At 39.4% G+C, this 12,640-nt stretch overlaps 1 protein-coding gene across 5 annotated transcripts in view; it reads left to right on the forward strand.

Moving 5' to 3' along the window:
* CDC14A (cell division cycle 14A) overlaps window positions 1-12,640 on the forward strand; it is a 175,277-nt gene that overhangs the window by 148,075 nt on the left and 14,562 nt on the right. For 3 of the 5 annotated variants that reach the window (NM_001319211.2, NM_033312.3, NM_001319212.2), the window contains 4 exons: window positions 1,743-1,855; window positions 2,927-2,974; window positions 5,010-5,132; window positions 5,854-6,385. In NM_001319211.2, the coding sequence (NP_001306140.1) occupies window positions 1,743-1,855; window positions 2,927-2,974; window positions 5,010-5,132; window positions 5,854-6,304 (735 nt within the window). In that variant the 3' untranslated portion in view covers window positions 6,305-6,385. Of the gene's footprint in view, window positions 1-1,742; window positions 1,856-2,926; window positions 2,975-5,009; window positions 5,133-5,853; window positions 6,386-11,738; window positions 11,863-12,640 lie in introns of those variants that run through there. The other 2 variants (NM_001319210.2, NM_003672.4) reach the window with 2 other exon arrangements.

Below are 12,640 nucleotides of genomic sequence, written 5' to 3' on the forward strand. Positions count from 1 at the left end.
TTATACTTACCTGAAAGGTTGAATTTTAGAATTACAGGTTGAGAATCATTTTATATTTAGAATTTTGAAGGTGTTTCTAGTGGGAAACATAAAGATCCTCCTAGTTGGAGGAACAAATAAGCTTTCCTGGTACAAAAGCACCCAGTTGACAATGAAACTGATTGTGGCAAGGATTCTGTCAGGTCCTCCTAGAAGCTTTCTTAGCCATTCTCATGAGGACCTATGTGTTTTTTGGCCTCACCTCATATTCAGGAAACTCTGGCTCTGTGCTAAGTAACTGCTAACATCCCAGCACGTTGAGTGCTTACTGCAGCCTAGTGAAGCTAAGCTCACCTTCTCAGGTGCACCATCCCACTGGCAAGCCTAGCTGTCAGACCTTCCTGATTTCTGTTCTTGCAGGCTTCCTTTGATGGTAATAAGTTCCTCCCCCATTGGGGTTGTATGGATAGAACTGAATGGTAAAACTGATTTCTGGAGATTTTTTAGAAGTGCAACTTGAGACTCTAAGAGAATCCTCTGTCATGAAGACTCCATGATCCTGTGACTGTTGAGCTGGTATTCTTGCACAGGACGACCTTTCCTGGGATCTTGGGCTGCGTCACTTGCACCCATTCTTTAAGGGATTGCCTCTAGGAAGCTTTTGTCCTTATTCTTTCTTTCCCACTGGCCTTGTGCTTTGCATTTCTTTATTTCTTTTTTAAACTCAGAGATGTGATGGTGAGGTTTGATCTTTTTACTGTGGAACCCAACATAGGTGGCCGGGATTGAGGAGGTATTGCGATGAGAAATGACTCAAATGTGACTTGATGGAAGTACATTTTTCATCAAACAAGAGTTCTAGTTTTAAATAGGGGAGGGGACTATTACGGCTGGGAGGGATTTTAGCAAATCCAAGCACTTTGATTTTTCAGTTGAGGAAAAAAGGCAAAATACAGTCTTCACTGGTGCAATGACAGTGTGCTATGGCATATATTTTAGAAAGAACATTGCATCTTGGGACAATAAATCTAATTTTGAAGTCACACAAAGGTCATTAAGAGCTTATGGGAGCTTGGGCAATATTCCTAACTTCCATGAGTATGTCCTTTTTTCATCGATAATAAGGGTACCAGTGCCTCCCCCTGCATCAGGGCTATTGAAGAGACTAGCATTTGAAGAGACTAGCATGGTACTTCTATTTTTCAAACTTTAAAGAGTTATTTCAGAAGGAAAGATCTAGTGAACATGGTCCTTTAAATCCTTCTGAAAAGGGCTTGTGTGCTTTTACTAGTGTTACATGATTACTGTGTTAATAACTTACTGTATAGATATCCTAAAGTATTTTTATCTTGTATTTTTGTAAACAGGTTATGGAATTTGCAGTGATGGGTCCTGGTAGTATCTAAAAACATATTTGTACTGCATCTGTGGGCCCTTCTGTATCTAGGCTATATTCCAACGTATGATTGTGTCTGCAGGAGAGTCTCCTCTGTTGCTGTCCAGTGTAACAAACAGCTCCTTGTATATTCTACCACATCTATTCCCATGCTTCATTGATTTGGAATTTGACTTGTTGCCTGTTGAACTGGCAAATAGTTGAGTGTTCTTTTGTGTAAACTTTGACAATGCTGATTCACAGTACCTTTAGTGACTTAATCTATATTAAGATAATCTGTATAAAATGTATCTATATATGTAGTCTGTTAAGAAACCTATATAAAGCCAAATTTTGACCTTTCTATGGAACGTGTATTTTTTTCCAGGATAACTTAGAAGATGATGATGTGGAAATGAAAAATGGTATAACCCAGGGAGACAAACTACGTGCCTTAAAAAGTCAGAGACAGCCACGTACCTCACCATCCTGTGCATTTAGGTAGATCTGTTTTAAACACTTCAATTTATAGTGTGCTTCCCTTTGTGAATAGAACATTTCATCTTCTCTTTAATCTGTAATCTTCTGTTTTGAATTTTGTTCTACAAATACTAAGTTTACTATTTTGTGTTGTTTATTGATTATTTTATCACTGTTGGGAGTAGCTAAAGTTTAGAAGTTTATTGAAAGCAACTGCTGCCATCTCAGTCTCTGGAATTCTACCTTAAGCTGCAAAGCAGTTATCTCTGGGACTCTGTTTCAAATTCTGTTTGGATTTCTCCCCTTCTGCTGTGAATGAGTTTCTTGTCCTGTGTTGGATCCTCACAGGTGTGCTGAGGCTGTTGTATTGACTCATAGTGTATATAAAAGTATTGTATGCCAGTCTCTGGCAATCTAAGCTAGTTCCTCAGCTTTACCTTCTATTTTTGAAAATTGAATAAGCAATTCTTACCTGTGCCTGTAAAGTTATAAGCCATCTTGACTTTGAAGTCTCAAACTACTCACCAGAATCAATGATGGGACTTGACTTCTGATCACATTTGAAACCTGCTGATAGCTCAGATTGGGTTTAAAAAAAGGGGAATCAAAAGGTGCAAACGTTTGTAAATATCATCATTTTTTAAAATTACAATATACTGGGTGGCAAGGCCCCAGTCCACAAATTAATATAATGGTAAGCAGCAACATTTTTTTGACTTATAAATAAGAGATACACATAGCAGAAGGATGTTTTGCCGGTATGGTAAACACCAAACAGATTCACAGGGAATTTAGTTTTCATGTGTAATCTGGGAGAAACTATAACACTGTAGTCAGATTGGGTCTTTACTGAGTTCCTGATCTAAGGAATAAAGGTTCATATTGCTCAAAGATGAGGTTATCATTTTCTGCAGTATTATGAGAAAAGGGGATAGCAAGCCTGGTTCTGGGTAATCTAATATCCATTTGCAAGGTTTCTCCCTTTTGCTAATTTAATATTTTTACTGGTTTGATACCATTTGATGTGCCTTGTGGTCTTTGTGAAAACGTGTGCCCTGGTGATATGTGAGCATCTGTCTTTGATTTCCGCAGGTCAGATGATACAAAAGGACATCCAAGAGCAGTGTCCCAGCCTTTCAGGTACTGCCAATGAGGTTGAATGTCTAGTAGCTTGTAAATATATGCTTCCTTTTAGCCATGTTTCCCAAGCCTCAAACACGAAAATCAACTGTACACAGCTTTTTGCTTTTTAAATTGCTTCCTTTCTCTTCCATATTGTTTATGCCTTATTTTTAATGCTCACCATGAAAAGGATTTTTTTTTTTTTTTGCTGGCATGCCCACAGGACTGTGTGGTGGTGGTAGAGACATCAATGTATTTTGTGCTCTTAGCACATTGTGGAGGGGGGTCTCTAAGAAACTACAGGTGCTCTGCATTTCTCCTTTTGATCTAGTGATAGATCTAGCTTAAATTGTTTTCATTTTTATTGGTCCTCTTTCTATTTTTTCCCAATCAGCATGCATTTGTTCCCCTCCTTTATTTTCTAGTCTTATTTTCTTCTCTACCTTCCTTTTCAAGAGGAAACACTAGTTTTGTTCTGTGGAAAAATGTCCCCTGAAACCTCCGGGAGTGGTACCACGATCTGGTGTGGCACTCAGTGAGAGCAGCAGAGATGTTTGGCCAAGAGTGTTGATGAAATAGGGGAAAGAAGCTCTTCACCTGCTGGTTCTTATTCATTCTTAGGTTTAGGACTGTTTAGTGAGGGCAGTTCAAAGAGGGCTTAAGCATCTGGAGCTTCTGGAGAAGCTTGAATTGCTTCTTTGTAGAACTTTTTCCATTTTTATTTTGGAGGCAAAACATGAGCTTAAGCTGCTGTTTGGTGGGTGGATAATGAAGGAAAGAGTCTACAAGTAAATAAGCTTTTCTCTAGCAGAGAGGAAAACAGAGTTCAGCTATATTAAATGATTTATCTAGGATCAAACAGATTTGGTATTAAGATTATGACTGGGCCCTGGCTCTCCAGATTTGAGTCAGTTTTTCCTTTTTGTCCACTTGGCAAATATTTATTGAGCACCTGCTCAGAATCCAGCATTGTGCTAGCCACTGGGAATTGAAATGAGAGAGAAGTCTTTGCCCTCAAGGAGCTTACATCAGGTAACGGAGATAGACAAATATCAGATGACGCAATATGGTATAAGAGCTATGATTTACTATGAGAATATATGATGAAACATATATTGCTTGGGAACTCAGAGAAGGCTTGCTTGATGAGGTAACAGCTGATTGGACCATTAAAGGCTAAGTGTGATAGAAGTGGGTCAAATGGACATGGAAGATAAGAGGTAGAGGATGGGAAGGAGATGAGAAAATGCCATGGCAGGGAAATAGTCTGTGCAAACTGGACAAACGTGTGGACGCTACCCATTCAGGGAACTCAAGGCATTCTTATGTAGCTGGAATAGAGATGTCCAATGGGAAAGTGTGGAAAGAAGGACCTGTCCAGATTTTGGAGGGGCTGCATATGCCAAGCCAAAGAGTTTCTATAGGCTTGTGGGCACAGAGGAAAGATGAAATGATTTAAACAGTGAAGTGACATGATTCACTGAAGGCTATTCACAATTTGAATTGTTTAGGAATAAGATTAAAAGATGCCACTTGTAGTCAAGGATAAGAAATAAAGATGGCCTCGCCTAGGGTAGTTTGCAGGGTGAAAAGAAGAGGATGGATTTGACATATAAGAAGTGGAATCTAAGGTTGTGCTGAGGAATGAATACCAGTGGCAAAGAAGGGCAGTGGCCCAGGAAGACAGGATCATGGCTAAGAGCAGGACTTTGACTCCTGGGTTTGAATCCCAGGTCTGCTGTTCACTAACTGAGTGACTGGATGAGGAACTTTTCCTCTGTGTTTTTGTTTCCTCACTTGTAAAGTAAGGACAGCAATATTAGCTACTTCTTAGGGTTGTTGTAAGGACAAGCTGAGCTGACATCTTTAAGGTTCTTAGAACAGTGCCTGGCAGAGTTAGTGCTGTGTCAGTGGTGGCTGCCGCTGCTGTCATCACTATTAGGACCTGTCATGATATCTTTAAGATTGATTAATTTATCTTGTCCTAGTTAGTTGCTGAATGTTTAAGATAAGACTACTTTATTGTGACACTTTGCCATTTTTCTCCGCAAAGATTAAGTTCATCCCTGCAAGGATCTGCAGTTACTTTGAAGACATCAAAAATGGCACTGTCCCCTTCAGCAACGGCCAAGAGGATCAACAGAACTTCTTTGTCTTCGGGTGCCACTGTAAGAAGGTAATTTTTCTCTCCCTCTTCTAAGGTGCTGGTTTGAGGTAAAGGAAGCTTGCAGCAGGCGATGAGTTTAGCTGCAGTTTTGTCAGAGGAGGGGACAAGGGAGAAGAGGAGAAACCACGGAAGACCCTGTGATGTTCTGGGGCTTCCGTTCCTGTCTTGGGAAGGCAGGAGACAAGGTTGTGGAGGGAATGGTGCAAAGCGTGCTCTTCTTCTAGAGAGTGAGCAGCTGGCTTAGTGTGATCCAGAAAATGGAGTTCAGTTGTATATACAAATGATATTGTCATTTCTCAGCTGACACGTATAGGCAAGGGAGAACTAACCAAAATGGGTAGGGATGTTTGATGTAGTCATGTGATTGAATATGTACTTAAGTCTGCTTTTAATGCTCCCCTTACATGGCCCTTTTCCTTTACTTCCCACCCCAGGGTAAATAAAACTCTGTGATGTTCTATTTCAAGATCTGTAGTCAAAGTGTTTTAGCCAGTTTCTTGGGTCCTAGTTAACTGCTTTTGACAAAGCAACTTGATATGTATAACTCAAGGCTACATATTATCATAACACCAAGGGTGATGAGGAAGCCATCCTGACATCATTCACATTGATCAGATTCATCTTCATCATGTTCCCCTAATGTCATGAGTATGTGTTTTAGAAACGTGAGCTCTGTGTGATTGTACATTGTTGTCTGTTTTTTCCCTCCTCACTTGTGTTTTCCATTCAGCTTTTCCATAAACTCCCGGCTAGCCAGTTCTCTAGGGAACTTGAATGCTGCAACAGATGATCCAGAGAACAAAAAGACCTCCTCATCCTCTAAGGCAGGCTTCACAGCCAGCCCGTTTACCAACCTCTTGAATGGCAGCTCCCAGCCAACTACCAGAAATTACCCTGAGCTCAACAATAATCAGTACAACAGAAGCAGCAACAGCAACGGGGGCAACCTGAACAGCCCCCCAGGCCCCCACAGCGCCAAGACAGAGGAGCACACCACCATCCTCCGACCCTCCTACACCGGGCTTTCTTCTTCTTCAGCGAGATTCCTGAGCCGTTCTATCCCTGTAAGTGCGCAGACACCACCTCCTGGTCCTCAGAACCCTGAATGCAACTTCTGTGCCTTGCCTTCCCAGCCGAGGCTGCCACCAAAGAAATTTAATAGTGCCAAGGAAGCCTTCTGAGCGATGCCTTCCCTCTGTGCTGTGAAACTGTCTATGCACTACATTCTGCTAGCTCCTCTTCAAGTAAACGCCAAGTCACAACTGGGTTTTCTTCCTTCCTTCTTTTTCTTCTTACCCCCAACTCCTTTTTAAGTAGTTTCTCTTAAAAGGGAAATAGCTTTCATTCTTTTGATTATGGGCATTGTTGACTTCAGTTACTTTTCAGTTATGTTTCCAATCACTCTGAATATCTGGTGCTAAGCCAGGAGCTGATTCATACAGTGGATAGCATTTGCTGGGGGTGCGCTGGTTTGGGGAATTATGGCTTTTTCCGCATCATATATCAGTGAATTAATTTTGGAGTATTGAAACGTGGAAGGTGCTGAGTGAACAGTATCTTCCTAGAACTAAGCATTAGGCCCTTGAATATTTCACCTCCTGCAAGGAACTGACCCAGAATAAAATAAGTGGCAAGTGGAAGATATTTCTAAGAAGGGCTTATAGGTAGGTACCTGGGATGCAAGGTGGGGAGCAAGCAGAGTATCAGGAAGGTGTTTAAAAGTAGCCAGCACTCTTCTAGAGAAAGGTGGGAAGACCTCCAAACACATCTTACCAATGAGATCTCTATTTAGGTTACCAAGCTCTCTTTAACAATCAACAATACCTGGTAAGGTAAACTCTGTTGGTAAACTCCTATTATGAATTACTTTAATAACCTGTTTTGATTGCCTCTAGGGGTATTGAGATCTATAGGAATGTGAGTTTCGATTTGAGAGGAACAAGGACAAATAGGAAGGAGAAATCAATCCTATGTATTAAGGAAATATGAAGCATGGTACATATACATACAGTGTTGCAACACTGATCGTACTCAGGGCATGAACAAGCCCTGGGTGTCTTGGAAGGCTCTGGCCTGGTGTCGCTTCACACTTGCTATTCTTGAAACATTTCCTCAGCCATCATCTAGGGAGTGCCTGCTTCTGTAGAGAAGAGGGGAGGAGGAAAGGTGCTGGTGGCAGTGTGCTGCGTATGGCCCACTCAGCAAAACAGGAGCCCCATGGTTCATTCTTAATGATATCTACTTTCTTTAGTTGACAGTTTAGAAACCATGAGGATGGGCCAGGCTCAGTGGCTCATGCCTATAATCCCAGGACTTTGGGAGGCCAAGGCTGGTGGATCACCTGAGGTCAGGAGTTCGAGACCAGCCTGGCCAACATGGTGAAACCCCGTCTCTACAAAAAATACAAAATTAGCTGGGCGTGGTGGCACGCACCTGTAATCCCAGCTACCATAAGGCAGGAGAATCCCTTAGAACCTGGGAGGTGGAAGCTGCAGTGAGCCAAGATCGTGCCACGGCACTCCAGCTGGGTGACAGAGCCACTCTCAAAAAAAAAAAAAAAAAAAAAAAAAAAGAAACCATGAGGATGAGGATGTTTTCTAACATGAGAATGCAGTGTGTGTGTGTGTGTGTGTGTGTGTGTGTGTGTGTGTGTGTTCATGTGTGGTTGCATTAGATTCATTACCACTCCTGTCCCTACCTGAGACCTCTTTTAAAACTTTTACCCTCTCTGTCCACTCTCAACCCATTCCCTAAGAGGAGCCTGGCATATCTGATGTTCCCTGTCCTATTTTACAGGCATGAGCCACCATGCTTGGCCTTGGCATTAGTTTAGATTCTTTTACAGATTAGGGTCCCAGGAAATTGCCAGCCCATCTACCCCTTAATCTGATTCTGATCCCATGATCCCACTATAAAAATTGGGTGTATAGGTATCATAAAAACTTAAATCCATGTAACTAAGGATTAGATGTAAAAAGATAATATATTTACATTTTCCTAACTATATTTATAAATCATATACTTTCCAGCAGGCATTGAGTTCAGTCAGCATTTTCACATACCGATTGTGGATCAGCCTCTTCTTTTGGATCAGAATGCAGATCTTTCCATTTTCAGAAAAAGTGCTAGAGATATATAGATAATCATACAGTCATGTGCTGCCTAATGATGTTTTGGTCAATAACAGACCATGTATACAATGGTGGTCCCATAAGACTATAATGGAGCTGAAAAATTCCTATTGCCTAGTGACGTCGTAGCCCTCGTAGGGTTATAACTGCAGTACTCATGTGTTGTGGTGATGCTGGTGTAAACAGACCTACTGTGCTGCAGCCATATAAAAATCTAGCAATACAATTATGTACAGTGCATAATATTTGATAATAAATACCTGTTACTGGCCTATGTATATACTATACTGTACTTTATATCGTTATTTTAGAGTATACACCTTCTCCTTATTAAAACAAAAGTTAACTGTAAGCCTCAGGCAGGTCCTTCAGGAGGTATTCCAGAAGAAGGCATTGTTGTTATAAGAAATGACAGCTCCATGTGTTACTGCTCCTGAAGACCTTCCAGTGGGACAAGATGTGGAGGTGGAAGACAGTGATATTGATTATCCTGACCTGGTGTAGGCCCAGGCTAATGTGTGTGTTTGTGTCTTCATTTTAAACAAAAAATTTAGAAAGTAAATACTAAAGATATTTAAAATAAAAAAAATAGGATAAGGATGTAAAGGAAGAAAATACTTGGTACAGTTACACATACAATGCTTATTTTAAGTGTTAATTTCAAGTGATTGGGAGTTGATAAAAACATTAAAAAATAGTAAACTAAGTATTATTACAAAAGAGTCAAAAGTTAAAACAATTAAGTTTATAAAATAAAAATGTTACAGTAAGCTAAGGTTAATTGATTATTCATGAAAGAAAAATTTTTAATATAGATTTAGTATAACCTAAGTGTACAGCATTTATAAAGTCTACAGTAGTGTTCAGTAATGTCCTAGGCCTTCATGTTCACTCACCACTCACCCACTGACTCACCCAGAGTAACTTCCCTTCCTGCAAGCTCTATCCATGGTAAGTGCCCTTTACAGGTGTACAATTTTTAAGTCTTTTATACCATATTTTTACTGTCTATTTTCTATGTTTAGGTATGTTTAGACACACATACTTACCACTGTGTTATAGTTGCCTGCAATATTCAGTAGAGTAACATGCTGTACAGGTTTGCAGCCTAGAAGCAATAGGTTATACCATTTAGCTCAGGTGTGTAGCAGGCTCTACCATCTAGGTTTGTATAAGTGCACTCTATCGTGCACACAGCAATGAAATTGCCTAAGGATGCATTCTCAGAATGTATCTTTGTCATTAAGTGATGCATGACTATGTAAATACCTTGCAGATTACATACGTAAAGGTATTGTGTAATCCACATTTATAGCTGAATGCCAGTAGCATTGGTAGCTTGACAAGAATAATGTTCTACTTTTTTGTTTTCCTCTTTGCTGGTAGAACCATGGGGGCAATTCTTTAGACAATTGTTAATCTCCCCTAATGATGTTTACATAACTTGATTTGGGTCTCGTTCCGTATTTTGTTATTTCTTTTCACTTCTCCTCCTCCTCGTCCCTCTTCTGGCTAGAATAGAGTGATTTTTAAATAATTCAATTTAAGTAATAGTCTGTGTGGGCAGTTGCTGCCACTTCCCTTCTCCTCCCTCCTAAATTTATCATCTTATTGTAAAGAAAAGCATTTATAAATAGAATTATCAACACAACATTTTCCTCCCTCTCACCCTCCCTGGAAGTAAGAAGCAGCAGGTCTTTGTAGCAGACCTTCCCCCCTTTAACTTTGCTTAGAAAACCTCCTGTGAGAGGGAAAGCTCCAAGTCCTACTTCTGCTGACTTGTGGTCAAAAAGCTAAATTATGATGAAAATTCCCACTTTGTGTGGAATAAGATAGGAGATTATGAGTTATTTTTGTTTATGGTCCAGTGCAGCTTGTCTAATTATACTGGGTTTATTGTCGAAATAAGATCATACTTCTAGTTCTAGTACTACTGAAGATGTGAGATTAGGAGCCTTGAAGAACTAGGAAAATCACTCAATAAAAATGTTTTAAAATTCTTAGGTAGGAAAATGAAGTCTGCATGGCAATATCCTCCCAGAACCTTTAAGAAAGACCCAGAAACTCTTAGGGGATGGGGGTTATGGGTATTTAGAGGGAATCTAATATTTTAAAAGCTACAATTAGCATCTCTTTTGAAAGCTGCAATTGCTCACTCACTTTTTGCAGCAGTTCAGCCCCCAGAAAAATGTAAAAATGATTTCCTTATTCTGTCATTAAATCGTTTAACACAGAAAACAAGAACAAATGTTAAGGATTCCTTATGGTTGTGACAGAATGCTGAGGAACAGTCAGATTTTATTTTTATTAATTTGTCCTCTTTTGCTAGTCTTGCAGTTTCTACTGCCCTGTGCAATGCACACACACAAGGTTACATTTTTGTTGACCCACTTACTGTAAAAAATGAGTTTCACTCCCTGACACTCAGAGGAGTTTTCAAATGCTTAAGAAATGAGGGACATGTGATTATGGTGTAGGTGGGGTGGAAGTATTTTATTAAATTGAAATTACTTGTGGTATCTGTCTTGAATATTTGCTATGCTTTATTTTTATGACACTTAATCACTGGATTACTAGTCATCTACATTGACCTTACCTGACCCCCAACTCTGAGTTAGTTCATGTTGCTTCTCCCATAAGCCTCTCTACATCCCACCTTGGTCTAAATCAGAATACTCTTTTTCACTCAGAATTTGCATAATCCACTAGACTATATGCTTTGTGAGGGCAGGGATGGTGCCTCTGGTTTTTATAGTTATGTGCCCTGTGCATGGCATATATTAGGCACTCATTAAGTATTTGTTGATTGGATAAAATGATGGATGGTTAAATGAATGAATGCTCTGTAGCTTTAATAATAAAACTATACAAATAAGTGAAACTTATTATAGCCTGTAATAAGCTTTGTTATGCACTCTTCTATCTTAATCTTCAAACATTTGCAGGGATATTCTCATAGTGAAGGTTGTAGGTAATGTCAGTGGTGCCATTGTCTCTTGGAATTTTTCCTTTCTTCTCCATTCAGTTGCTTCCTCATCCCTGTTGTGTTTGAGTCTTTGATGATCTTCCTAACTTGTCTCTTTCCACCTTTAATTCTTACTTTAAAGTAGGGTTGGCAAACTTTTTCTGTAAAGGGCCAGATAGTAAAGATTTTTAGCTTTGTGTCCCAACTATTCAACTCAATACATAAACGAAAAGTGTGGCTAATATTAAATAAAACTTTATTAACAAAAATAGGTGGTGGGTTGCATTTGGATAGTGAGCTGCAGTTTGCCAACCCCTGCTTTAAAGCATTGCCAGATAAGAGATATAGATTTCAACATCTTATTTCCCTGTTCAGAAATGACCAGTGGTCCCTTAGTGCTAGAACATAAATACTGACTTTCTTTGTTGAGCTTTCAGGCCCTCTGTACTGCATTTCTGTAGTATTGTATCTTTGCACCAGCATTTACCTTGCTTATTCTCTTGTTTTCTTCTCCCACAGTGTTCATGCCTACTGCTAGTCTTTAGGAAGCCCTTTCTTGGAAGCCCCCTGCTCTCCTTACCAATTTCTCATCTTTAAATAAAGACATATATTACCTCCCATGTCTTCTGTGAAGCTCTCCCCAGTAAGTGGAATCCACCCTATAATTAATACTTTATTTTATCATGTATGCTATTATATACATGAACATCTATATTTGTTTACATATTGTCTGTGTATGTAAGAATTGTCTCCAAATTTAAACTTCTTTTGCAGACATTTCAAAAAGTTCTTTTATAGTTCATGGTTTCTAACACAGTACCGGTCACAGGAGGGAATTAAAAATTAAAATACTCATTTGGTTGAAAGTTGAAAGCAAAATGGAAATGAAATATTGTGTGCTTCCTACTTTCCCTCAGCATTCTTATATGATAGTTGAAGTTGGCTTAAATGTAGTTCTCTTTTCTAGTGTTAGTAGCATTTTTATACTCAGTTGGTTAATGCTGCTCTTTGGTTATGAAGACTCTGGATGTTTTCCACCTCAAATTTGACAAACGTAAGAACAATCTTGGTAGCCTATGAATAGGTTAAGTTCTTCTGTGTTCTAACATCAGGCAGAATACGTATGTGTTTTAAGGAATTATTGGTCCTTAAAGTAGGACCTGGAATGAGATCAAAATATTAGAATCTAGCTTTATAAAATAACCAGTTTGATGAAAATCTGAGTGATTGGCAGTGCACTAAAGCATGGTTCATTTGTACTTTGGGATAATGTTAGTGCTGACAGTGATAAGCTACTTACTGATTGTTTGAATATCCATTCCCAGTAAAGTGCTGATACTTTCCAGTGGTATGTAGTAGTGTTTCCCGATATCAACTTGTTGTCTTTTCCCTCTGCCTGTTCTCCATTTTAAAAATTGGTC

Source organism: Homo sapiens, chromosome 1 (assembly GCF_000001405.40).
Source record: "Homo sapiens chromosome 1, GRCh38.p14 Primary Assembly".
Lineage (NCBI taxonomy): Eukaryota > Metazoa > Chordata > Mammalia > Primates > Hominidae > Homo > Homo sapiens.